Below are 27,179 nucleotides of genomic sequence, written 5' to 3'. Positions count from 1 at the left end.
AAGCACTGGGATTACAGGTGTGAGCCACTATGCCCAGCCCTTATTTTGCCTTTTACAAATGACAACAAAAAATAAAAGCAAATAAATGTCAGTCTTTAGAGCTGAGTTGTCTCTTTTGCATCAATAGAAAAGAAACTCCTCTCACAACTACACCTGATGAAAGAAAGAAAGAAAAAGAAAGAGAAAGAAAGAAAGAAAGAAAAGAAAAAAAAGAAAAGAAGGAAAGAAAGAAATCTTCTTAGGGACTAACCTGGAGTTGTGACAGTTGTGGCTCAAAACGTTGCTTTCTGAGCTAGGAATGAACTGGAATCACTGCCATTCACTAGTGAGGCAATGGTCTGGCTGCTCGACTCTCTCCCTCTGCCGCCCCCACCCTGAGCTCCAAGTCACTTCCTCTATCATGATGATTGCATTGGACGTCTCTGCCATAATCCTCCAGCAAATCATGCAATGAGGGTTCACAGAACGGACTGTGTGAGCTCAAAGGAATCTTGCCCATTTATTTTCTCAGCAAATACTCAGTTTCTATTTCATACTGGACGCTTGCTAAGCAACTGAGGATAAACAGTGAGGCAGATACAGCCCCTGCCCTCTTAAAGTTTATAATCTAGTAGATGAGACTGAAAAATAAATGAATCGTTCCGGTAGCATACAATACACCCTGACAGGAGAACAATGGAGGGGGCACATAGCCAGACTGGGACCAGAGGGCCCGGGGGAGAGTGACAGGGCAGGATTCCAGAAGAGTTTAGATGTCTAGCTTAGATGTCTAGTTTAGATGTCATCTAAGAACAAGTAAGAGAGAACTAGATGAAGAGCAAGTAGGAGCAATATTAGAAAGGATGGGTGATGGCAGCCTTGACACCGTGAGGCTGCAGGCAGTTTAGCATGCCTGCAATGCAGGATGCTGGAGGCAGGAGAGAGGAAAAAGGAGCAACATGATGCTCCACAGGAAAGAAGGGCCAACTCACAAACGTTGCTTTGTAATAGCCACGGTAAGAATTTGTTCTGCATCCTAGAGTCCATGGAAAGCCATTGGAGAGTTTTAAGCAGGAGGCTAACAAGACTGAGTTTGCTTGGACAGACCACATCGGCTACAAGATTTAGAGGGGTGTGGTGGGGGGGGGGGGCAGAAATATGACCCCCCAAAGATGACCACATACGAATCCCTGGAACCTATGGATATGCTACTTTACATGGCAAAGGAGATTTTGCAGGTGTTGTTAAGAATTTTGAGATGAGGTGTTTATCCTGGATTAACTAGATGGGCCCAATGTAATCACAAAGGTCCTTTAAAGTGGAAGGTAGGGACAGAAGAGAGAGGCAAAGGAGATTTTACTGTGGAAGAGTGGTCAAGGAGATGTCACATTGCTAACTTTGAAGATGGAGGAAGGGAGCCACAAGCCAAGGAATGCAGAAAGCCTCTAGAAAAGAGAAAAGGAAAGGAAATAGACTCTTCCCTAGAGCCTCAGGAAAGGGGTGCAGCCCTGCTCACGTCTTGATTTTAGCCCCGTGTCATTCGGACTTCTTACCTACTGAGCTAGAAGTAACAAATTTGTATTGTGTTTTTTTTGTTTGTTTGTTTGGTTGGGGTTTTTTTGTTTTGTTTTTTGTTTTTTTTTGAGACGGAGTCTCGCTCTATTACCAGGCTGGAGTGCAGTGGCGTGATCTCGGCTCACTGCAACCTCCGCCTCCCGGGTTCAAGCGATTCTCCTGCTTCAGCCTCCCAAGTAGCTGGGATTACAGGCACCCACCACCATGCCCAGCTAATTTTTGTATATTTAGTAGAGACGAGGTTTCAACATGTTGGCCAGGATGGTCTCGATCTCTTGACCTTGTGATCCACCTGCCTTGGCCTCCCAAAGTGCCGGGATTACAGGTGTGAGCCACCATTCCTGGCCAGAAATTTGTATTGTTTTAAGCCACTACATTTGTGGTAATTTCTTACAGGAGTAACAGAAAACGAATACAGATTATGTTACTGCTGTAACAAATACCTAAACATGTAGAAGTGGTTTTGGAACTGAACTTTGGGAGGAGGCAGGAAAAACACTGAGGAGCATGATGGGAAAAGCCTGTATGGCCTTGATCAGACTGCTGGGAGAAATGTGAATGCTAACAGCTTGGACAGTGAGGACTCTGGAATCAGTAATGAGCAGAGTCAAGAAAATATCAACCAATTTAGAGAACATGAACGGACTTGGAAGAAATATGGCTGTTAAAGGTGCTATGGGTGACGGCTGAGAAAGAAATGGGGAATATGTTAGGGGAAACTGGAGGAAAGAGGATCCTTGGTACATAGTGACAAAAAGCTTATCCAGTTCCTTGAAGTTATATGAAACACAGAATTTATAAACAATGAACTTGAGGCCGGGCAAGGTGGCTCATGCCTGTAATCCCAGCACTTTGGGAGGCTGAGGCGGGTGGATCACCTGAGGTCAGGAGCTCAAGACTAGCCTGGCCAACATGGAGAAACCCCATCTCTACTAAAAATACAAAATTAGCTAGGCGTGGTGGCAGGAACCTGTAGTTCCAGCTACTAGAGAGGCTAAGGCAGGAGAGTTGCTTGAACCCCAGAGGTGGAGGTTGCAGTGAGCCGAGATCGTGCCACTGCACTCCAACCTGGGTGACAGAGTGGGGCCCTGTCTCAAAAAGAAAACAACAACAACAAAAAAACAATGAAATTGGGTAGTTAGCTAAGGAGATTTCCAGGCAGTGTTGAAGGGTGTGGTCTGGTTTCTTCTTGCTGCTTACAGTAAAATGTGAGAGGAAACAGATAATTTGAGAGAAATGTTTAACAAAAAATGAAACAGAACTTGATGATTGGGGGAATTCTCAGCCTATTCAGATGCAAAAGACGTTAAAATGATGAAATTCACTGTCAGGAAAGTGTGCTTTAGAGAAAAAGCCAAGAACGTGGCTGGACAACCTTTTGCTAATACCTCAGAAAGATCAAAAGGTCAGAGTATCAGGCCTGTAATCCCAGCACTTTAGGAGGTTGAGAAGGGAGGATCGCTGGAGCCCAGGAGCTCAAGGTCAGCTTGAGGAAACATAGGGAGACCTCATTTCTACAGATAACAACAACAACAACAACAACAACAACAAAAATTAGCTGGGTAGGTGGTGCTTGCCTGTAGTCTCAGCTATTTGGGAGACTGAGGTGGGAGGATTGTTTGAGCCTGGAGAGTCAAGGCTGCAGTGAACTGTGGTTGCACCACTGAATTCCAGCCTGGGCAATAGAGCAAGACACTGTCAAAAAAAAAAAAAAGTTCAGAGTATTCTGTCACATAAGAGGTTTTTTGAAGAGATTAAGTGTGAGACTCATATATCCCCTCAGCTACCTCAACAGAAGACAGAAATAGAAACGGGCTTATCAAGCGAAGATCTGCAAAGGAGCATTTTGTCTAATGGAGTGACATACATGAGAGATCCACGGGGTTCTTGAGAATTTTATACCAGCAGAAACACTTGAGCTTGGACTGTACAGGATAGAGAGGGTATGAAATGAAAGAAGGCTATAAGATCCCCCAAATTCTACAGGCAGGAAACAAGTTGATAAAACCACCCAGCTGCAGCCATGTGCTGAACCTTTCATGAAAAAGGAAGAATGACTAAGAGGACAGAGCTGTGATCCCAGAGGGCAGAGCTTTGAGCTGCAAAGTATTATTTCCAGGCTTTGAAACCTAATGGAGTTTGTCTAACTTAATTTTGAAATTGCTTGGGACTAGTGACTCCTCTATTTCTTCCTTTCTCTCTTTTTACATGGGAATGTCTATTAGTGTTATCCTATGCTAGACCCAGTATCGTATTTTGGAAGCAGAAGCTTATTTTCTAGTTTCACACGTCCACAGGTGGAGAGAAACTTTGCCCCAGGATAGATTATGCTGAGTCTCATCCAAAACCTAATTTAGATAATATCCATGATAAATCTGAAACTCTTGAGCTAATGAGATTTAAATGAGACTTTGAACTTTGAGTTGATACTTTAATGGGCTGAGATTTTTAGGGACCTTGGAATAAGGTGAATGCATTTTGTTCGTGAGACAGGTATGAATACTGGGGCCAGAGAATGGTCTGTGGTAGGCAGAATAATGATCTACCAAAGATGCCTCCAGAACCTGTGAATCTGTTACATTACATGGCAAAAAGGGACTTTGAAGAATTGATTAAATTAAGGATTATGAGACAGGGAGATTATCCTACATTACCTAATAGGCCCAATATAATCACAAGGTCCTTAAAAGTGGAAAGGGGGCCGGGCGTGGTGGCTCATGCCTGTAGTCCCAGCACTTTGGGAGGCTGACGCAGGCAGATCACTTGAGGTCAGGAGTTCAAGACCAGCTTGGCCAACACGGTGAAACCCCGTCTCTACTAAAAATACAAAATTATCCAGACGTGGTGGCAAGCACCTGTAATCCCAGCTACTCAGGAGGCTGAGGCAGGGGAATCACTTGAACCTGGGAGGCGGAGGTTGCAGTGAGGCGAGATCACACCATTGTACTTCAGCCTGGGCAACAAGAGTGAAACTCCATCAAAAAAAAAAAAAAAAGTGGAAGGGGAAGACAGAAGAGAGAAGCACAGGGAGATTTTACTATAGTATGGTCAGTAAGATGTAACTTTGTTGGTTTTGAAGATGGAGGAAGGGGAAACCAAGAAATGTGGGAAGCCTCTAGAAGGTGGGAAAGGCTGGGCAATGAGTTATCTCCTTGAGCCTCCAGAAAGGAACACAGAGGAAAAACAATGGAGCAAAACTGGAAGCAAGGAGTTAAAATAAGAGGCAGTTGCAATACCCCCAAGCAAAAGAGGATGGTATGCTGAATAAGGTAGGTGCAGTGGGGATGGAGAGAGGTGGATGGATTAAACACCTATGAGGTATAGTCACTGGGACAAGGCGATAATATTTCTCGGGGAGGAGAGAGGGAAGTCTCTTCTCCAGGATGACATCCATAGTTTTGGCTTATGCAATAGGGCAGAGGGTGGGACCACTGGCTGTGTAGGCCACACAGGAAGAGGAACAGGTTTGTGGGCAAGAAGATAATTTCATTTGGGACATGTCAGTTTGGTGGTGCCTGTGGAACATCTGAGAAGCAGTTGGATAAGCAGGTCTGAGACTCAGGAAAACATATAGGCAGCAGTTAAAGTCAACCCGATGGATAAGATGGCCCAGGAAGAGTATAAAGAATAAGAAGATAGGACAGGACCTTGTAGAGTGCTAAGTAAGGGTGTGCAGAGAAAAGAAATCTGCAAGGGGCCTGAGAAAGAACAGCTGGAGAGGTAGGAGGAAAGCCAGGAGAGTGTAGTTCATGTAAGCGGACACTAAAGCTTATCAGTGTTGGACCAGCACTGGGAAGGAATCAGATGGAACAAGTGGGAGGTCAGATGAAACCAGGGTCAGGATTGGCAATTCTGAGGAGTTTGGAGTTGCTCTGTTCTAGCTGGAGAGAGAAGCACCTGTGGGAAGCTGATGGTTGGTATTTTCTGCCAGGCATAAGAGGGCAGCCAGAGGCCAGGTGAGCAAACCTGTTTAGCACTCTGGCTCAGCCCAGAATGGGCAGCTGTTTCCAGGAAGGGGTTCTAGGTCGTCTCACTGTGCTGTAATTAAGAGACTCAGCCCCTGCCCCAACTTGCTCCACGGGACTGACCAGCTGTGTTTGCTCTTCTCTAGCAGGGAAGGGGGATCATCTGTCACCTACTCTGTTTTCTGAACATTCATCCCACTCCCTGCCTTTCTTACAAAGTTCCTTCTGCCAATTAACCGGGTGTGGTGGCGGGCGCCTGTATTCCCAGCTACTTGGGAGGCTGAGGCAGAAGAATCGCTTGAAACCGGAAGGCAGAGGTTGCAGTGAGCAGACATTGCGACACTGCACTCCAGCCTGGGCGAAAGAGCGAAACTACATCTCAAACAAACAAAACGAAGTTCCCTTCTGCCGAAAACAAATATCCAAAGCGTTCTGGGCACTGTGCTAAGTACTTCATGGTCATCAAGAGACACTATTCTCCCCATCTCACAAATGAGGAAACTGAGGCTTAAAGAGATGAAATGACTTGCCCAAGGTCACAGTCAGTATGTGGTAGAACCAGGATCCAAGTCTAGCTGAATCCAAATTCTAAGTTCTAACTCCCCAGAAACCACGACTGCTCCCTCGCTGGGTTCCCACAGTGCTTTATCTGCCTCTATGCCCGTTTCATCTCGCTAGCAGCTCCTGGAGAAAGGGGCTTTTAATTCGTCTTGTCAAGCTGTCATCATGGTGTGCTGCCGCAGAGGACCACTAGGTGCCGCCAGAGCACCAGCCAGCCTGATTTACTGCTCACCTGGAGTCGGTCTAAAGGAGCAACTGGTGGGGAAGGGAGCTGGGCCTTTTCTTCCTGCCCTGCAGCCCACCTCTCCTTCCTATCGGAGGTGGGAAGAAACGACTGGAAGATTGGAAGGTTAGAAATTAGAGATTTGGCCGGGCGTCGTGGCTCACGCCGGTAATCCCAACACTTTGGGAGGCAGAGGCAGGTGGATCACATGAGGCCTGGAGTTCGAGATCAGCCTGGCCAACAGGGTGAAACCCCGTCTCTACTAAAAATACAAAAATTAGCCGGGCGTGGTGGTGCACATCTATAATCCCAGCTGCTCAGGAGGCTGAGGCAGGAGCTGAGGTTTGAACCCACGAGGCAGAGGTTGCACTGAGTCGAGATGGCGCCACTGCACCCCAGCCTGGGCAACAGTCAGAGCTGGTCTCAAAAAATAAATAAATAAATAAATAAATTTAGAGATCTGAGGAGTGTAAACTGGAGCAGCCCAGGGCTCAAGTCAAACAGAAGATCCTAAGAGTTCTCTAAGAAAGCTAGAACCAGCAAAATAAAATATTGCGGCAAACATCTCCAGGCTGGGTCTCAGCCCCACTCCTCTGTCCTCCCTTTTTGTGCAGATCCTAAAATGCACAACCCTATGCTGTGGCTGTAGTGGAAAGTGGGGAAAATGTATGTTACTGAGACCTATCCAGAGCTAGAAACTGTGGGAAAACAGGTGTGTGTCCTTGGGGAAATCACTTCACACCTCTAAGCTTCAGTCTTCTTGTAAATAAAATGAGGATAGGCCCAGCACAGTGGCTCACGCCTGTAATCCCAGCACTTTGGGAGGCCAAGGTGGGAGGATCGCTTGAGCCCAGGAGTTCAAGACCAGCCTGGACAACATAGTGAGACCTCTTCTCTATTAAAAATAAATAAATAAATAAAATGAGGATAATCAAGGGACCTACCTCGTTGAGCGGTTGTGAGGAGTTAAAGACAAAATGCATGTACCACACTGATACAATATCTGTCATATAGCAAGTGCTTAATAAATATTGTTATAAACACAATAATTATGATAATATAAATATTTAAATGATAAGCATTATTGTTGTATTTGTCAGGATTCTCCAGAGAAACAGAACCAATAGGATATATATAGATAACGTAAGAGGAAATTTATTACGGGCGTTGGCTCATGCGATTACAAAGGCCAAGAAGTCCAATGATAAACTGTCTGCAAGCTGAGAACCAGGAAAGCCGGTAGCGTAATTTAGTCCCCAGTGGAAGGCCTGAGAGTGGGGTTGGGGAGGGAAACCGGTTCAAGAACCAGGAGCTCCGATGTCCAAGGGGAGGAGAAAATAGATGTCCCAGCTCAAGGACAGAGAGAATTCACCCTTCCTCTGCCTTTTTATTCAAGCCCTCAATGGACTGGATGCTGCCCACTCACATAGATGAAGGTGGATCTTCTTTGCTCTCAGTCTACTGATTCAAACGTTAACTCTTCCAGAAACACCCTCAAAGGCACACCCAGAAATAATGTTCTACCAGCTAATATCCCTTAGTCCAGTCAAGATGACACGTAAAATCAGTACACAAAATTAACAGTCACTGCTGGGCGTGGTGGCTCACGCCTGTAATCCCAAAACTTTGGGAGGCTGAGGCGGGAGGATCACCTGAGTTCAGGAGTTCGAGACCAGCCTGGCCAACATGGTGAAACCCTGTCTCTATGAAAAATACAAAAAAATTAGCCAGGCATGGTGGCGGGTGCCTGTAATTCCAGCTACTCTGGAGGCTGTGGCAGGAGAATTGCTTGAACCCAGGAGGCAGAGGTTGCAGTGAGCCGAGATCACACCACTGCACTCCAGCCTGGGCAACAGAGTGAGACTCCATCTCAAAAAACATTATAAGCAAATCAAAGAAAATTGAGGACTACCAGATTATAATTTCTGACCCATTATCTTTCACCCAACTTGGTCTTGAACAACTAGTAGCTATTTCTCAAATCCAATCCACCTTCAAGGTTTAACAAACAAATAAAAATATGTTCACACACCTTCAAAATAATCTGATAGAAGTTCTGAAGATAGGCTGGGTGAGGTTCACACTTGTAATCCCAGCACTTTGGGAGGCCGAGGCAGGCAGATCACGAGGTCAGAGGATCCAGATCATCCTGGCTAACAGGATGAAACTCCATCACTACTAAAAATACAAAAAATTAGCTGGGCTTGGTGGCACACAGCTGTAGTCCCAGATACTCGGGAGGCTGAGGCAGGAGAATCGCTTGAACCCGGGAGGCAGAGGTTGCAGTGAGCCGAGATCGTGCCATTGCACTCCAGCCTGGGCAACAAAAGCAAGACACCGTCTCAAAAAAAAAAAATTAATGATCACCATTAATAATAAGTGGTAGTTCTCGGCCGGGCGCAGTGGCTCACGCTTCTAATCCCAACACTTTGGGAGGCCGAGGCGGGTGGATCACCTGAGATCAGGAGTTCAAGACCAGCCTGGCCAACATGGTGAAACCCCATCTCTACTAAAAATACAAAAATTATCCAGGCGTAGTGGTGCAGGCCTGTAGTCCCAGCTACTTGGGAAGCTAAGGCAGAGAATCGCTTGAACCCAGGAGACCGAGGTTGCAGTGAGCTGAGATCGTGCCATTGCCCTCCAGCCTGGGCAACAGAGTGAGATTTGGTTCCAAATAATGAAAATAATAATAATAATAATAATAATAATAATAATAATAATAAATGGTAGTTCTTAGCTGCTGCCTTCATGATGACATCATTTAATTATCTTCTCACACTACAGGCCTGACACATAACGTCCTCAACAAATATTTGTAGGATAAAAAAATAAAAATAGTTTTCACTCATGTTCTCTGTGTTAATCCAGCTTGTTGATCCTGGAGAGACTTTCTGGATGTGGTGTCTTTAAGGATCAACAGGAGTTTGCTGAGGATAATTGCACCTTCTATATTAAACAGAACAGTGCCTAGATAACAGAGAAAGTGTTCGGTAAATACTTTGGAAAGAAGAAAGGGAAAGAGGAAGAAAGGAAAGGGAAAAGAGAGAAAAGAAGGAAGAGGAAGAAGAGAGGAGTGAAAGAAAAGCTCAAGAAGGGCCTGATACACTGTCTCACGCCTGTAATCCTCACATTTTGGGAGGCCAAGGCAGGAGAATCACATGAACCCAGGAGTTCAAGACCAGCCTGAGAAACATAGTGGGGCCTTATCTCTTAAAAAAAAAAAAAAAAAAAAAAGACACAAAACAACAACAAAAACCTTAAGATTTTTTCCTTTAAAACTTAGCCTTCACTTGAAACTCATCAAGGAGGTTTTAAATTTGAGCTAAGGATCTCTGAGACAGGCTGCAAATAGGATCTCTAGCAAGACGTGGTTTTGTTTGTTTGTTTTTTGAGACGGAGTTTCGCTCTTGTTGCTCAGGCTGGAGTACAATGGCGCAATCTCATCTCACCGCAACCTCCCAGGTTCAAGCGATTCTCTGCCTCGGCCTCCTGAATAGCTAGGATTACAGGTGTGCACTATCACGCCCAGCTAATTTATGTAATTTTAGTAGAGACGGGGGTTTCACCATGTTGGCCAGGCTGGTCTTGAACTCCTGACCTCAGGTATCCACCCAACTCAGCCTTCCAAAGTGCTGGGATTACAGGCGTGAGCCACCGCGCCTGGCCCAAAATGTTTCTTAGAGAGCTGATATCACTACACTTTAGGTCCCGATAGTCCCACAAGTTTCCTCTAATGTAGCTGTCAGCACACTTCTGTCTTATCTGAACCCCTACCCTAAGTGTGAGCTCTGTGAAGCTAGGGGCTGTATCTATTTTGACCAATGTTGTACATATTTAGTACAAAGAAGGTGCTCACTAAATTTTGTTAGTTCTTAAACTGGGCTGAGTTCTAGTTCTGGTAATGGCAGAGTAGATTGTATCTGACTAACTCCCTCATAGATAACAACTATAAATTCTGCTAAAAATATTTGGCAATGATAAAAAATAAAAACTGAATTAAGGCACTGTAAAGTGACGAAAACCAGGCATAAGCTGGAAGGAGATTCCGTGTTTCAAATAAGGGAACCACACTGGGTATGATCCACATTTATATGGATTTTCCACCAGGGAAAATTCTTCAGTTTCCACAGCGCAGAAAGCTAGAATTCGAGCAGAAATTCAGAACTTAATTTGTCAATTAAATCAGAAGATAGAGTTCAGGCTGTTACAGTGACTGAAAATTGAGGGAGAAACCCCAGAAACAAAAGATCCAGAGAAAATAACCAAAAATCTGCACATAAACTTCCTCAAATCCTGAGCTAAGCCTTGAATCGCACATGCACAAATAAGACTCCAAGTCACTCAGCGGGGAAACCAATAGCTGGAAGGATGAAATTAATGAGCAAAGATTTTAGCTGCTGCTCACTGCAAGGAAGACAATTTGAAGTTGAAATTCTGCCACATTATCAGGGCTTGGTAAAAGACAGTCCATCAAAACCCCAAAAGGACTATACCTAAGGAGAAAACCCTGTATCCTGAGTTAAGAGATATAGCCTATGACCAGGAGCAAAATAAAAACTAGACTTAGACCGGGCGCAGTGGCTCACTCCTATAATCCTAGCACTTTCGGAGGCCAAGGCGGGTGGTTCACCTGAGGTCTGGAGTTCGAGACCAGCCTGGCCAACATGGTGAAACCCCATCTCTACTAAAAATACAAAATTAGCCAGGGAATGGTGTTGGGTGCCTGTAATCCCAGCTACTCAGGAGGCTGAGGCAGGAGAATCGCTTGAACCCAGGGGATGGGGGTTGCCCTGAGCCGAGATCGTGCCATTGCACTTCAGCCTGGGTAACAAGAGTGAAACTCTGTCTCAAAATAAATAAATAAATAAATAAATAAATAAATAAAGTAGACTTATTCTAACAAAGAGTAAAATCAAACACCCACAAGTTTGAGATGATCCACCAGTAATTTAACTGCTGGCAAAAAAAAAAAAAAAAATTGACACTATTCAGAGGAGTATAACAGAATTCAGAATCTCTGTAACGTATCACTCATGGTCAATGTGCAATAAAAACTATTAGACATGCAAAACAACAACAACCACACACACAAAAAAATGTGACCCATAGACAAGAGAAAAAAAGTCAATAGAAACAGAGCCACAGACAATTCAAATATCAGAATTCGGAATCAAAAACTTTAAAGTAACCATGACAAATTGTCCTTAAGAGTCTACAGGAAAGGATGGTTATATTGGGTTTAAAAATGAAGAATATCAGCCTTACGGCCAGAAACGCCACCTTCCAGTAATTCGCCAAAATGACAAACACAAAGGGAAAGAGGAGAGGCACCCGATACATGTTCTCTAGGCCTTTTAGAAAACATGGAGTTGTTCCTTTGGCCATGTATATGCGAATCTATAAGAAAGGTGATATTGTAGACATCAAGGGAATGGGTACTGTTCAAAAAGGAATGTCCCACAAGTGTTACCATGGCAAAACTGGAAGAGTCTACAATGTTCCCCAGCATGCTGTTGGCATTGTTGTAAACAAACAAGTTAAGGGCAAGATTCTTGCCAAGAGAATTAATGTGTGTATTGAGCACATTAAGCACTCTAAAAGCCGAGATAGCTTCCTGAAACGTGTGAAGGAAAATGATCAGAAAAAGAAAGAAGCCAAAGAGAAAGTTACCTGGGTTCAACGGAAGCACCAGCCTGCTCCACCCAGAGAAGCACAGTGTGTGAGAACCAATGGGAAGGAGCCTGAGCTGCTGGAAACTATTCCCTATGAATTCATGGCATAATAGGTGTTAAAAAAAAATAGAAGACTTCCGGACTGTAAAAATGTTTCTCTTCATTGAGTAGAAGTGTAGTATCCTCTCCCCCAAAGAAATATTTAAAGGAAATTTTAATTGTGTCCTAATTCATTATGCAATGTCTTTACTGTTCAAATTTAATGTATTTCTTGCTGAAAGACATGAGGTAGCTTATTGTGCAACAAATTACTCAATTGGTTAGAAAATGGCCAGGTATTATGTATGAAATATTTGTACTGGTTTGAAGACAGGGCCTCTAAATCATCAAGGAAGAAATAAAATAATTTACAAAAATAAAAAAATGAAAGCTATCAAGAGAGACTTGAAAGTAGTAGAAAAGAACCAAATGAAAATCCTAAAAAGGAAAAATATAACATCTAAAATTTATTTATTTATGTATGTATGTATTTATTTATTTATTTTTAGATGGAGTCTCACCCTGTCACCCAGGCTGGAGTGTAATAGCACAATCTCGGCTCACTGCAACCTCTGCCTCCCAGGTTCAAATGATTCTCCTGCCTCGGCCTCCCAGGTAGCTGGGATTACAGGCACACACCACCACACCCAGCTAATTTTTGTATTTTTAGTAGAGACAAGGTTTCACCATGTTTGCCAGGCTGTTCTCGATCTCCTGAACTTGTGATCTGCCTGCCTCAGCCTCCCAAAGTGCTGGGATTACAGGCATGAGCCACCGCACCCAGCCAATATCTGAAATTTAAAATGTGTTGGATGTATTAAGAATAGATTTGACATAATTGAAGAAATAACCCATAAGTGTAAATACTAGTTAATAGGATCAACCAAACTGAAGCACAGAGAGTGAAAAAATTGAAAAAAAAAGTGATCACAATCTTTATGGCCTATTGGACACTGTTGAAAGATCTAATACATATATAATTGGAGTTCCACAAAGATAAGAGAGAGAGATTGTGGAGAACAACAAATATTTGAGGAAATACTAGCAGAAATTTTCCAACTTTAATTTTTTCTAAGCAGCAATCTATAGACCAGAAGATCAGAAACCCACAATTTGATAAGTACAAATAACACCATATTGGGATACGTAATAGTCAAACTGTTATGGATAAAGAAAAACTTTAGGCTGGACGCAGTGGCTCACGCCTGTAATCCCAGCACTTTGGAAGGCTGAGGCGGGTGGATCACGAGGTCAGGAGTTTGAGACCAGCCTGACCAACAAGGTGAAACCCCGTCTCTACTAAAAATACAAAAATTAGCCAGGCGTGGTGGTGTGTGCCTGTAATCCCAGCTACTCAGGAGGCTGAGGCAGGAGAATTGCTTGAATCCAGGAGGTGGAGGTTGCAGTGGGCCAAGACTGCGCCACAGCACTCCAGCCTGAGTGACAGAGCAAGACTCTGTCTCAAAAAAAATAAAAAAGAAAAAGAAAAACTTTAAAGTGGCCAGAGATAAAAGACCTACAGGGAACCAAACATGAATAATAGCTGACTTGTCACTAGAAACAGTGGAGCCCAGCCAACACTGGAACAACTTCTTTAAAGTGCTCAAGTAGGCTGGGCACAGTGGCTCACACATGTAATCTCAGCACTTTGGGAGGCTGAGGCAGGAGGATCATTTGAGACCAGGAGTTTAAGACCAGCCTGGCCAATATGACAAAACCCTGTCTCTACTAAAAATACAAAAACGAGCTGGGCATGGTGGTGCACATCTATAATCCCAGCTACTCAGGAGGCAGCTGGGCATGAGAATTGCTTGAATCTGGGAGGTAGAGGCTGCAGTGAGCCAAGATTGCACCACAGCACTCCAGCCTGGGTGACACAGCGAGACTCTTTCTCAAAAAAATGAAATAAAATAAAGTGCTCAAGTAAAAACATACACACACACAAAAACACAAAAACCTGCAAACCTAGAACTTAATATCCAGTGAAAATGTATTTCAAAAATGAAGACAAAATGAAGAATTTCAAATAAATTAAAGTTGAATTTGTCACCAGCAGAACCAAATGTATGAAATGATGAAGAAAGGGCTTCAGTTTAAAGGAAAATTACACCAAATAGCACTTTGGATTTCCAGGAAAAAAGGAAGAACACTGAAAATAGTACATAGGTTGATGTGAAAGATATTATTCTTTACTTTCTTAAATTCTTTAAAAGTCAGTGGACTCTTGGGGCATAATGTCAGCAAGATGGTGGAATAGGAAGCCCCAGACTTCATTCTCCCATAGAGATACTGAGTTAACAACAGCATATAGTCCAAAAAGCCTTGATGAGGACTCCAGAAACAACTTAAGGAATCATGGTATTCCAGGCAAGCACAAAACCAATAGTAGCCATGCTGAAATGGGAATAGAAGACAGTATTAAATGTGTTATTGGGATTTAATTCTAAAAATACGAATGTTATAGGTTCCTGTAAAAATAAAGCATTTTTGTTTATTTCTCTTTAAAAATAGTCAATGGACTCTTTAAAGCAGAAATATTAATACTGTATTGTAGGCTCAAAAGCATATGGAGAAATAAAATATATGACCGAAACAGTGCAATGAACAAGAGGAGTGGCAATGGAATAGTACTGTTGGAAGGTTCTTACATTATGTATCAGGCGACATAATATTACTTCTAGGTAGACTGTCAGGGAAATGTAAATCAAAACTATGATGACATACCATCTCACACCCATTAGGATGGCTGCTATCAAAAAAACAGAAAATGGCCAGGTGTGGTGGCTCACACCTGTTAGCCCAGCATTTTGGGAGGCCAAGGTGGATGGATCGCTTGAGCCCAGGAGTTCGAGACTACCCTAGGCAACATAGTGAGACCCCATTTCTACTAAAAATACAAAAAAAAATAGCTGGACATGGTGGTGCTCACCTGTAGTCCCAGCTACCTGGGAGGCTGAGGTGGAAGGACCACCTGAGCCTGGAAGGTTGAGACTGCAGTGAGCTGTGATTGCACCACTGCACTCCAGTCTGCGTGACAGAATGAGACCCTGTCTCAAAAAAAAGCAAAGCAAAACAAAACAAAACAAAAACCTCACAAGATCAACATACAAAAATCAATTTTATTGCTGTATATTAGCAATGAACATGTGGAAAACAAAATTTAAAATGCCATCATAATCACTGAAAATGCTATACTTAGGGACAAAACTAACAAAAAAATGTCCAGGACTGATATGTTGAAAACTACAAAATGCTGGTGAGAGAAATCAAAGCAAATCTAAATAAATAGAGAGATCTACCATGTCCATGAATTGGAAGACTCAATATAGTAAAGAATGCCAGTTGAACTACAGGTTTAACACAATTCCTATCAAAAATCAAGACAAGATTTTTTTTGTAAACACAGACAAGGTTTTTCTAAAATTTATATAGGAAGGCAAAAAGGAACTAGAATATCTAAAACCAAAAGAATAAACAAAAAAGAATAATTAAAAAAAGAATATCTAAAGCCAGTTGGAAAATGATAAAGTGGGAGGAATCACCTACCTTGAGATCCATCTACCACTAGGATCCATTTAAACTGAAAAATAATTTAGTGATTGAAGGATAATTGGATATCCATAGGCAAAAAAATGAACCATGGCATAAACCTCATATTTTATACAAAATTTACCTCAAAAGGATCATAATTCAAATGTAAAGCGTAAAACTATAAATTATTATTATTATTATTATTATTTTTTTTTGAGACAAAGTTTCGCTCTTGTTGCCTAGGCTGGAGTGCAATGGTGCGATCTCAGCTCACCCCAACCTCCGCCTCCCTGGTTCAAGCGATTCTCCTGCCTCAGTCACCCAAGTAGCTGGGATTACAAGCATGTGCTGTCATGCCTGGCTAATTTTGTGTTTTTAGTAGAGATGGGGTTTCTCCATGTTGATCAGGCTGGTCTCGAACTCCTGACCTCAGGTGATCTGCCTGCCTCAGCCTCCCAAAGTGCTGGGATTACAGGCATGAGCCACCATGCCCGGCCTAAAACTATAAATTATTAAGACAGAGAACATCTGCTGGACGTAGGGCTCAGCAAGTTCTTAGACATGATACCAAAACCAAAATATGTAAAAGAAAAAAATCAATACATTGAACTTCATCAAGATTAAAATCTTTTGCTTTGCCAAAGGCCTGATTTTAAAAGTATAAAAAGCCAAGTTACAGAATAGGAGAAAATACTTGCAAACTATACGTCTAACAAAGGACTCATATCTAGAATATATAAAGAAGTCGCAAATGCATCCAATTAGAAAATAGGCAAAAGACATAAACAGACATTTCAAACAAAGAGGATATACAGATGGGAAATAAGCACTTGTAAAGATGTTTAGTATTAATAGCCATTAGGAGAATGCAAGTTCAAATCATGGCAAGATATTATCACACATTTAAAACAACAGAACGAGGCAAGGCACAGTGGCTCATGCCTGTAATCCCAGCACTTCGGGAGGCCAAGACGGGTGGATCACCTGAGGTCAGGAGTTCAAGACCAGCTGGGCCAACATCGTGAAACCCCATCTCTACTAAAAATACAAAAATCAGCTGGGCATGGTGGTGCGTGCCTGTAGTCCCAGCTACTCGAGAAGTTGAGGCAGGAGAATAGCTTGAACACGGGAGGTGGAGGTTGCAGTGAGCCAAGATCACGCCACTGCACTCCAGCCAGTGTGACAGAGCCAGGCCCTGTCTCAAAAATAAAATAAAATAATAGAACAGCTAAAATAAAAATAGCAAGAACAACAAATGCTGGCAAGTTTATGGAGAAACTGGATCTCTTATACATCATTGGTAGGAATATAAAATAGCACAACCACTCTGGAAAACATTTTGGCAGTTTCTTTACAAACTTAATATAGGCCAGGCACAGTGGCTCACACCTGTAATCCCAGCACTTTGGGAGGCCAAGGCGAGCAGATCACCTAAGGTTGGGAGTTCAAGACCAGCCTGGCCAACATGGTGAAACCCCGTCTCTACTAAAACTACAAAAATTAGGTGGACACAGTGGCACAGGCCTGTAATCCCAGCTACTTGGGAGGCTGAGGCAGGAGAACCACTTGAACCTGGGAGGCAGAAGTTGCAGTGAGTCAAGTTCGCACCACTGCACTCTAGCCTGGGTGACAGAGTGAGACTCCATCTCAAAAAAAAAAAAACTTAATATAGGCTGGGCATGGTGGCTTATGCCTATAATCCCAGCACTTTGGGAGGCCAAGGCTGGAGGATCACTTGAGCCCAGGAATTCAAGACTAGTCTGGAGGATCACCTGAGCCCAGGAGTTCAAGACCAGCCTGGGCAACATGGTGAGACCCTGTCTCTACAGAAGAAATTAAAAAAAAATTAGTCGGGCATGATGGTGCATGCCTGTGGTCTCAGCTATTCAGGAAGCTGAGGTGAGAGGATTGTTTGAGCCTGGGAGGTCAAGGTTGCAGTGAGCTGTGTTTGCACCACTGCACTCCATCCTGGGTGACAGAGCAAGACCCTGTCTAAAACAAAACAAAACAAACAAAACAAAACTTAATATACACTTACCATATGATCCAACAATCGCACTTCCAGGCATTTATTCCAGAGAAATGAAAATTTAGGTCCACACAAAAATATGTACATGAATGTTCATAACAACTTGATTCTTAATAGCCCCAAATTGGAAACAAACCAAATATCCTTCAGTGGGTGAATGGTTAAACAGACTGTGGTACATCCATACCATGGAATACTACTCAGCAGTAAAAATGTACAAACTACTGATACACTCAACAGGTAGGTGTTTCTCAAGGGAAGTATGGTGAATGAAAAAAGCCGATCTCGGCCAGGCACGGTGGCTCATGCCTGTAATCCCAGCACTTTGGGAGGCCGAGGTGGGCAGATCATGAGGTCAGGAGATCAAGACCAACCTGGCTAACACGGTGAAACCCTGTCTCTACTAAAAATGCAAAAAAAATTTAGCTGGGCATGGTGGCGGGTGTCTGTAGTCCCAGCTACTCAGGAGGCTGAGGCAGGAGAATGGTGTGAACCCAGGAGGCGGAGCTTGCAGTGAGCCGAGACCGCACCACTGCACTCTAGCCTGGGCAACAGAGTGAGACTCCGTCTCAAAAAAAAAGAAAAAAAGAAAAAAGCCGATCTCAAAAAGATGTGTACTGTACAGTTCCATCTCTGTAATATTTTCGTAGTGGACAAAATTATAGAGATAGAAACAAAGTACTGTCACCAAGGTTTAAGGGGCAAGTGGAGGAGAAAGAGATGCCACCAGAAAAAGGTAGCATGGGGGATCTTTGCAGAAATGGAATAGTTTTGTGCCTTGATTGTGGTGGTGGCTACGCTAATGTCACATGTGATAAAATTGCTTAGAACTGTACATGCATGCGATCACATATGAATGCATGTAACACTGGTGACATCTGAATGTAGTCTGTGGATTGTATTGTCAGTTTCCTGGTTTTATAATTGCTCTACAGTTATGAAAGATGCTATCACTGAGACAAATTGGATAAAAGGTCTTTAGCACCTTTCTGTACTATTTTTGAAACTTCCTATGAATCTATAATTAGTTCAAAATAAAAACTTAAAAATATTTTTTAATACCTCACTATTCTGTGGATCAGGAATTCAGGCAAGGTTTGGCTGGGCGATTCTTTCTCTCCATTTGGTGTCAATTCGGGCTTTTGGAGGTATTTAGCTGGTGATGCGGTTGGTCTGGAAGGTTTAAAATGGCTTTAGTCAAATGGCTAGTGCCTTGGTGGGGACAGCTGGAAAGCAGGGCTCAGCTTGGCCCCTCTCCCTCTCCATGTAGTCTCAGGGCCTCTCCACGTGGTTTCCCCGACACGGGTGTCAGACATCTTACACAGTGGCTCTTGTTTGATTTTAATATTTCAGAGGTGAGACACTTCTGGAGGATACCAAACCCCAGGCATAGCCTTCCTTAAAAATACTGCTGAAGAAGAGTTGAAGAGATGGTCACTAGAAAGGAAATAGTCAAGAAACTGAGAATGCAGGCTGTTGAATGGGTCGTTAAAGAAGTTTTTTTGTTTGTTTGTTTTTGTTTTTTTGAGACAGAGTTTCGCTCTGTCGCCTAGGCAGACAGAGTGCAGTGGCGCGATCTCAGCTCACTGCAAGCTCCGCTTCCTGGGTTCACGCCATTCTCCTGCCTCAGCCTCCCAAGTAGCTGGGACTACAGGCGCCTGCCACAGCGCCTGGCTAATTTTTTGTATTTTTAGTAGAGGCGGGGTTTCACCGTGTCAGCCAGGATGGTCTCGATCTCCTGCCCTCTTGATCCACCCACCTCGGCCTCCCAAAGTGCTGGGATTACAGGCATGAGCCACCGCGCCCGGCCTAAAGAAGTTGTTGATGGCCAGGCACTGTGTCTCACGCTTATAATCCCAGCTCTTTGGGAGTCCGAGGCGGGCGAATCACCTGAGGCCAGGAGTTCGAGACCAGTCTGACCAACATGGAGAAACCCCGTCTCTACTAAAAATACGAAAACTTAGCCAGGCAGGGTGGGGCATGCCTGTAATTACAGCTACTTGGGAGGCTGAACCGGAAGAATTGCTTGAACCCGGGAGGTGGAGGTTGCGGTGAGCCGAGATCGGGCCATTGCACTATGGCCTGGACAACAAGAGCAAAACTCTGTCTCAAAAAAAAAAAAAAAAGAAGAAGAAGAAGTGGTTGAGGCCGGGAGTGGGGGCTCACACTTTTAATCCCAGCACTTTGGGAGGCCAAGGTGAGTGGAGCACTTGAGTCCAAGAGTTTGAGGCCAGCCTGGGAAACATGGCAGAAACCCCCTCTCTACTCATAATACCAAAAATTAGCTGGGCATGGTGGCGCATGACTGTAGTCCCAGCTACTTGGGAGGCTGAGGTGGGAGGATTGCTTGAGCCCAGGAGTTGGAGGTTGCAGTGAGCTGAGATCATGCCACTACACTCTGTCTCAAAAAAAAAGAAGAAGAAGAAGAAGAAGTTATTGAAGTGCACCAGGTGATGGCAGGATTCTGAGAGGAGGGGAAGATATGATCCAGGTGCCCAAATCACTAGTGAGTGAGAGACAGTGACCCAGGGAAAACAGGATGATGGCAACAAGGAGGAGGGATGATAGAATCAGTTGATATAACGGCCGGGCGCGGTGGCTCATGCCTGTAATCCCAGCACTTTGGGAGGGTGGGGCGGGCAGATCATGAGGTCAGGAGTTCGAGACCAGCCTGACCAACATGGTGAAACCCCGTCTCTACTAAAAATACAAAAATTGGCTGGGCATGGTGGCACATGCCTGTAAGCCCAGCTACTCAGGAGGCTGAGGCAGGAGAATCTCTTGAACCCGGGAGGCAGAGGTTGCAGTGAGCTGAGATTGTGCCACCACACTCCAGCCTGGGCGACAGAGTGAGAATCCTTCTCAAAGAAAAAAAAAAAAAAAAGGAATCAGTTGGCGTATGCCTGAGAATAGGGATTTCTATAATCAGATGTCTGGAAAAATATCTAAAGACACAATGTGGAGGCCGGGTGCAGTCCGGCCCATGCCTATGATCCCAGCACTTTGGAAGGCCGAGGCAGGAGGATGGCTTGAGTCCAGGAATTTGAGGACAGCCTGAGCAACATAGGGAGACACCTCAGCCCCACTACAAAAAATAAAAAATAGCCAGGTGTGGTGGTGCACGCTTGTGGTCCCAGCTACTTGGGAGGTCTGAGCCCAGGAAGTTGAGGCTGCAGTGAGCCCTGATGGCACCACTGCACTGAAGCCTGGGTGACAGGGTGAAATCCTGTCTCAAAATAAATAAATATATGATTTTTTACAAGAAACAATGTGGACACTGATTCCACCCCCTGTCCCTGAGGGATGTGGTGTGAGAGGATAATCAGCTTCCGGGTAAGAGGGCTGCAGGGAAGGACTGTTGTCAGAGATCATGTTGAGTTCTGTGGCTTGGAGGCAGAGGACACGCTCCTGGAAATTGAGAACAGTAAGGAAGCTGGCTGATTGTTGAACCCATGTTCCGGAAGACACCGTGGGAAGGTTAGGATGGGAGACTGGCAGAGAACTTGGATGCTGGGTCAGGGGAGGGAAAACAGAACAGCAAGGAGAGAGATTTTGGGAGATGATCAAGGAAATGATGTGAGCCTGGTGCATTTGGCAAGGTGTAAGAAGATTTAGTCCGTGAGCTCCAAACTGAGCTCTGAGAACCTGCCCCTGAGAGAGAAGGGCACAGCTAGGGAAGGTCCTTAAGTAAGGCTCAGCCTAGTGTGGGTTGGGGGTTGATTCAGTGATCTGTTACTTGCTGATTCCGTGGCACACGCCTGTAGTCCCAGCTACTCAGGGGCCTGAAGTGGGAGGATTGCTTGAGCCCAGGAGTTCCAGTCTGGCCTGAGCAACATAATGAGATCGTGTCTCTTTAAAACAAAATCGAAGGACTTCTGCAATTGGGGAGCACAGGGGATGAATCAGATTCAATCTCTGTTCAAATATAAAATATCTCTATGACTACAACTTAAAATTGTATTGAAAGAAGAGAAATCCTGAGTTAATTCTAATAAAAAGGAAATAGAAGGGACATTTATCTTCCCTATTTTTTGCTCTAGTCCCTAGGAGGGTGTGGCCAGACTCTGTAAATTGTTCCTTGGGAGAAGGGATGAGGCTGGGGAGGGCATGGTGTCTATGCTCCCTCCTGGTCTGGGACCTGGCCTCTTAGGTCCTCATTTTCAGGCTTGATCCTGCAGAAAAAATTACCATGGTAGGTGGAGCAAAAACAGACATTTGAGTTGCTTTTTTGTGTGTATCTTGATATGATCTTAAACTCTTTGCATTAATAGATTTTCTCATTTGAAACCGTTCTGTCCTTGCTCTGTTGCTGAGGTTGGAGAGCAGTGGCGTGATCTTGGGTCGCTGCAACCTCTGCCTCCCAGGTTCAAGCAATTCTCTTGCCTCAGCCTCCTGAGTAGCTGGGACTACAGGTGTGTACCATTATGCCCAGCTAATTTTTGTATTTTTGGTAGAGACAGGGTTTTACCATGTTGGCCAGGCTGGTCTCAAACTCCTGACCTCAGGAGATCCACCTGCCTCAGCCTCTCAAAGTGCTAGGATTATAGGCGTGAGCCAACGTGCCCAGCCCAATCTGTTAATATTTTATATGGGATTTTTGCATCTATGTTCGTAAAATAGATTGGCCTTTAATATTCCATTCTCTTACTGCCTATCACTGGTTTGGGTATCAAGTTTATATCAGCCCCATTAATGAGTTTGAGAATGTTCTTTATTTTTCTATTCTCTAAAAAGTTTGTAGAATATTTGAATTAGATATTCTTTTTTTTTTTTTTTTTTTTTTTGAGAAGGAGTTTCGCTCTTATCGCCCAGGCTGGAGTGCAGTGGCGTAATCTCGGCTCACTGCAACTTCTGCTTCCCAGGTTCAAGCGATTCTCCTGCCTCAGCATTCCTAGGAGCTGGGATTACAGGTGCCCACCACACACCTGGCTAATTTTTTGTATTTTTACTAGAGATTGGGTTTCTCCATGTTGGGCAGGCTGGTCTCAAACTCCTGACCTCAGGTGATCCGCCCACCCTGGCCTCCCAAAGTGCTGGGATTGCAGGCGTGAGCCACCGCGCCCTGCCAGGTATTCTTTTAAGTGTTTCATAGAGCTTGTCTTATTGATTTATAAGAGTTCTTTGTATGTTTTCCATATTAATGCTTTGTCTCGTAATGTATACTGTAAATTATATAATTTATATAATATATATTATCTAAATATATATTTAGATATGTAATTGTATATGTAATATATATATGTAATTGTAAATATACATTATAATACAGGTGTGAGCCACCACACTCGGCCAACATGGAGTTTCCTTATACAGAAATGTAGATATATGACTCTCAACTTTTCTGACTTTTAATTTTATCTGTAATTTTTATTGTAAAAAAACTTAAAAAGTGTGATAAAGTGTAGAAAAGTGTGATAAAGTCAACTTTAAGCATTTTTCTTATCTTTTTTAGGTTTTGTGTACTGCCCAGAAATGTTTTCCATGACAAAAAAAATTATTTTTTAAATTTATTTTAGGCCTTTTATAATTTGCTATCTTTATATATGGGCCCTCAATTAATTTGTTCAAGAATATAGTTTTGGTATGCTGATATAGAAATCTAAGTTGAATTTTTTTCTGAATATATGGCCAATTACCTCAACATCTAGTCTACCCTTTCCTCACTGCTCTTGAATTTAACCTTTATCATAAACTAAATATATATACTTTCATCATAGATTTCAAATATTATATATATATACATCTATGTTGCCCAGTCTTGAAATCTTGGGCTCAAGGGATCTTCCCACCTTGGCCTCCCAAAGTGCTGGGATTACAAGCATGAGCCACCATACCTAGCCATTTGTTTTTAAGTTTCTATTTTTATTTTTTGTGTTTTTAGAGACGGTCTTGTTCTGTCACCCAGGCTAGGATGTCATGGCTCAATCATAGCTCACTGCAGCCTCAAACTCCAGGGTTCAAGTGATCCTTCCACCTCAGCCTCCCAAGTAGCTGGGAGACACCACTACACCCTGCTAATTTTTTTTTTTTTTTTTGTAGAGAAAGGGGTCTCACTGTGTTGCCCCAGCTGGTCTTGAACTCCTAGCCTCAAGTGATTCTCCTGCCTGAGCTTTCAAGAGTACTGAGATTACAGGTATGAGCCACCACACCTGGCCAACATGGAGTTTTCTTATACAGAAATGTAGATATATGACTCTCCACTTATTCAGGGTCTCCCTGTGCTTTAAGAGTCCTATGCAAGAAGTACCTACTGAGGAGGCTGAAGTGGGAGGATCACTTGAGCCTTGGAGGTCAAGGCTGCAGTGAGCTAAGATTGTGCCACTGCACTCCAGCCTGTTTCCAAAAACAAACAAACACCCATATGCAATTGGCTGGAACCTCCAGTCCATGTCTTGTGGTCCAAAGCCTTCCCTAAAATTTATATATATATATATATATATATATATATATATATATATATATAATTTTTTTTTTTTTTTTTTTTAGACAGAGTTTCACTCTTGTTGCCCAGGCTGGAGTGCAGTGGCGTGCTTTCAGCTCACCGCTACCTCCACCTCCCAGGTTCAAGCTATTCTCCTGCCTCAGCCTTCCTGAGTAGCTGGGATTACAGGCATGCACCACCATGCCCGGCTAATTTTGTATTTTTAGTAGAGATGGGGTTTCTCCATATTAGTCAGGCTGGTCTCAAACTCCCGACCTCAGATGATCTGCCTGCCTCGGCCTCCTAAAGTGCTGGGATTACAGGCGTGAGCCACCTTGCCTGGCCTAAAATTTATCTTGATTGGCTCCAGCTTTAAGCTTCAGCTACCACTGGATTGGTTCAGTTTATAACCCCAAGTGTGGCAGGATGTATTTTCCAAAGATGGTTGCATCAATAATAAAAATTGCATCCCCAGGCTGGGTGCAGTGGCCCACACCTGTAATCCCAGCACTTTGGGAGTCCAAGGCAGAAGGATTGTTTGAGCCCAGGAGTTCAAGACAACCTGGGAAACATGACAAGACCCTGTGTCTACAAAATATAAAAAATTAGCTGGGTGCATGGCTGGGTGCAGTCGCTCACGCCTGTAATCCTAGCACTTTGGGAGGCCGAGGTGGGCAGATCACTTGAGGTCAGGAGTTGGAGACCAGCCTGGCCAATGTGGTGAAACCCTGTCTCTACTAAAAATACAAAAATTAGCCAGGCATGGTGGCAGGCGCCTGTAATCCCAGCTACTCGGGAGGCTGAGGTAAGAGAATTGCTTGAACCCGGGAGATGGAGGTTGCAGTGAGCCGAGATCACACCACTGCACTCCAGCCTGGGCAACAGAGCAAGACTCTGTCTCAAAGTAAAATAAAATAAAATAAAAAATTAGCTGGGTGCAGCGGTGCATGCCTGTAGTCCCAGCTACTCAGGAGGCTGAAGTGGGAGGATCAGGAGCCCAGGAACTTGAGGCTACAGTGAGTGGTGATTCCTCCATTGCACTTCAGCCTAGGTGACAGAGGGAGACCTTGTCTCAAAAGTAAGAAAGAAAGAAAGACATAAATAAATAAATTTTATCCCTTATTCTCTTCTTAAAATGTGACACTGGCTGGGCGCGGTGGCTCATGCCTGTAATCCCAGCACTTTGGGAAGACAAAGCGGGCAGATCACGAGGCGGGCGGATCATGAGGTCAGGAGTTCGAGACCAGCCTGACCAACATGATGAAACCTCATCTCTACTAAAAAGACAAAAATTAGCCGGGAGTGGTGGCGTACGCCTGTAATCCCAGCTACTCCAGAGGTTGGGGCAGGAGAATCGTTTGAATCCAGGAGGCGGAGGTTGCAGTGAGCTGAGATTGCGCCACTGCACTCCAGCCTGGGTGACAGGGCAAGACTCCATCTCAAAAAAAAAATTAAAAAATGTGACATTAACATTCATCCTTGAGGTGGGGTCTCTGTTCCCTCCCCTTGATCATGGGCAGACCTTTGCAATTGCCTCAACAGTAAGAATGTGGTGAAGGTGCCACTGCATGACTTCCAAGGACGGGTCCTGAGTGGCAATTCTCTTCAGTCTGGTGCTCTCCTACTCCCTCTGAGCTGCTATAGAGGATGTTCAGCTACCTTGAAGCTGCCATGTTGGAGAAACTTCATGGAAAGCCCACAAAGAGATAAAGGAGAGAACTGTCCAAGCAACTCCAGCTGTTCCGGCCCCAGCGGTTGAAGGCTTCCCAGTACTGACATCAGACATGTGAGTGAAGAAGCCTTCTAGGTGACATCAGGCCCAGCCACCATCTGACTATGACCTTATAACAGACCCCAGGCCAGACCGAACCAGCAGAGTCACTCTCAAATTCCTAATCCAAAGAAATTGTCATTTTAAGCTGCTGAATGTTAGGGTGATTTGTTATGGTGCAACAGGTAATTAATACATCAATGTGTGCTGTCCAGACTGTGAAACTCATCCTCTTTCCATAATTTCCACACACAAAAAGAAAACTTACTCACACAAGGCCTTTCTTGTGGTTAGCCCACAAAAGATGGAGAGATAAGTGATGTGAAACAAACAACTTAAAATTGAATTTGGACATCCCAGTTCTAAAAATCCTTTATAGGTTTACCCCACCCACCCCAAGCAATGCCCACCATCCCTCTCTTACATCCTCCTCCTCTTGCTCTCATCTTCCAACAAACTTCAAATTCTTCTTCACTCTGTTAGGCAGAGCAATTACATTCTCTCAAGCTCTTTCTCCCAAACTCAGCTCCAGGACAACCTTTCAAAATCCAGAGCCCTTTGCTAACCTGCCCAATGGAGTTGGACTTTTCTAGCTTCAACTAGGTTCATCATTTTAGCTGATCTGCCTGTGGCCAGCTTCCCCACATTGGATGCCAACCTAGTAAAACAGTCATCCATAAATCATAAGGAAAGCTAAAATGTATCAAGCACCTACTATGTGCTGGTTCGAGGTTAAATGCCTCGCATGAGTCATCTCATTCAATTTCCACAAAAACCCTTTAAGATAAGGACAATTTGCTGGGCACGGTGGCTCATGCCTGTAATCCCAACACTTTGGGAGGCTGAGGCAGGCAGATCACCTGAAGTCAGGAGTTCAAGAGCAGTCTGGCCAACATGGCGAAACCCCATCTCTACTAAAAATATAAAAATTAGCCAGGCATTGTGGCTCATGCCTGTAATTCCAGCTACTCGAGAGGCTGAGGCAGGGGAATCATTTGAACCCGCGAGGCGAGGTTGCAGTTAGCTGACATCGTGCCACTGCACTCCAGAGCCTTTTAAGACTCTGTCTTAAAAAAAAAATATATATATATATATATATGGACTATTAGTATCCCCATTTTACAGATGAGGAAAATGAGACTTCATAGAGTTTGGGGTGCCTGTGGTCATATCTATAATTGTGAAAAAGTCAGATTCCAAAGCATTTTACCAATATTGCCTAAGTGAGTGGGAGGGAAGGGAAGGCTCTCTGGAGTCGGGCTATGCTGGACAGCGGGGTTCGGAAACTCTGGTGAATAAAGTGGTAGTTGTTTCTATGAACATGGAGTGAGAAGGCCCAATCCTAAACACACCAGTGCTTAAGGCAGCTGCAGAGAATTAAAGGCAATAGAAAAAGGGGAGCTGGATGGCAGG

The 27,179-nt window shown here is 43.9% G+C and overlaps 1 protein-coding gene and 1 pseudogene across 3 annotated transcripts in view; one reads left to right on the top strand and one right to left on the bottom strand.

Annotated features, from left to right (window-relative positions):
• SMAP2 (small ArfGAP2) overlaps window positions 1–327 on the bottom strand; it is a 78,493-nt gene extending 78,166 nt beyond the window's left edge. For all 3 annotated transcript variants that reach the window (XM_047428009.1, XM_047428011.1, XM_047428017.1), the window contains exon 1: window positions 251–327. The gene's annotated coding sequence lies outside the window, so the exon portion shown is untranslated. The remainder of the gene's footprint in view (window positions 1–250) is intronic.
• Window positions 11,563–12,119, top strand: RPL21P20 (ribosomal protein L21 pseudogene 20; annotated as a pseudogene).

Source organism: Homo sapiens, chromosome 1 (genome assembly GCF_000001405.40).
Source record: "Homo sapiens chromosome 1, GRCh38.p14 Primary Assembly".
NCBI classification, from domain to species: domain Eukaryota; kingdom Metazoa; phylum Chordata; class Mammalia; order Primates; family Hominidae; genus Homo; species Homo sapiens.
This window is presented reverse-complemented; position numbering and strand designations above follow the sequence as displayed.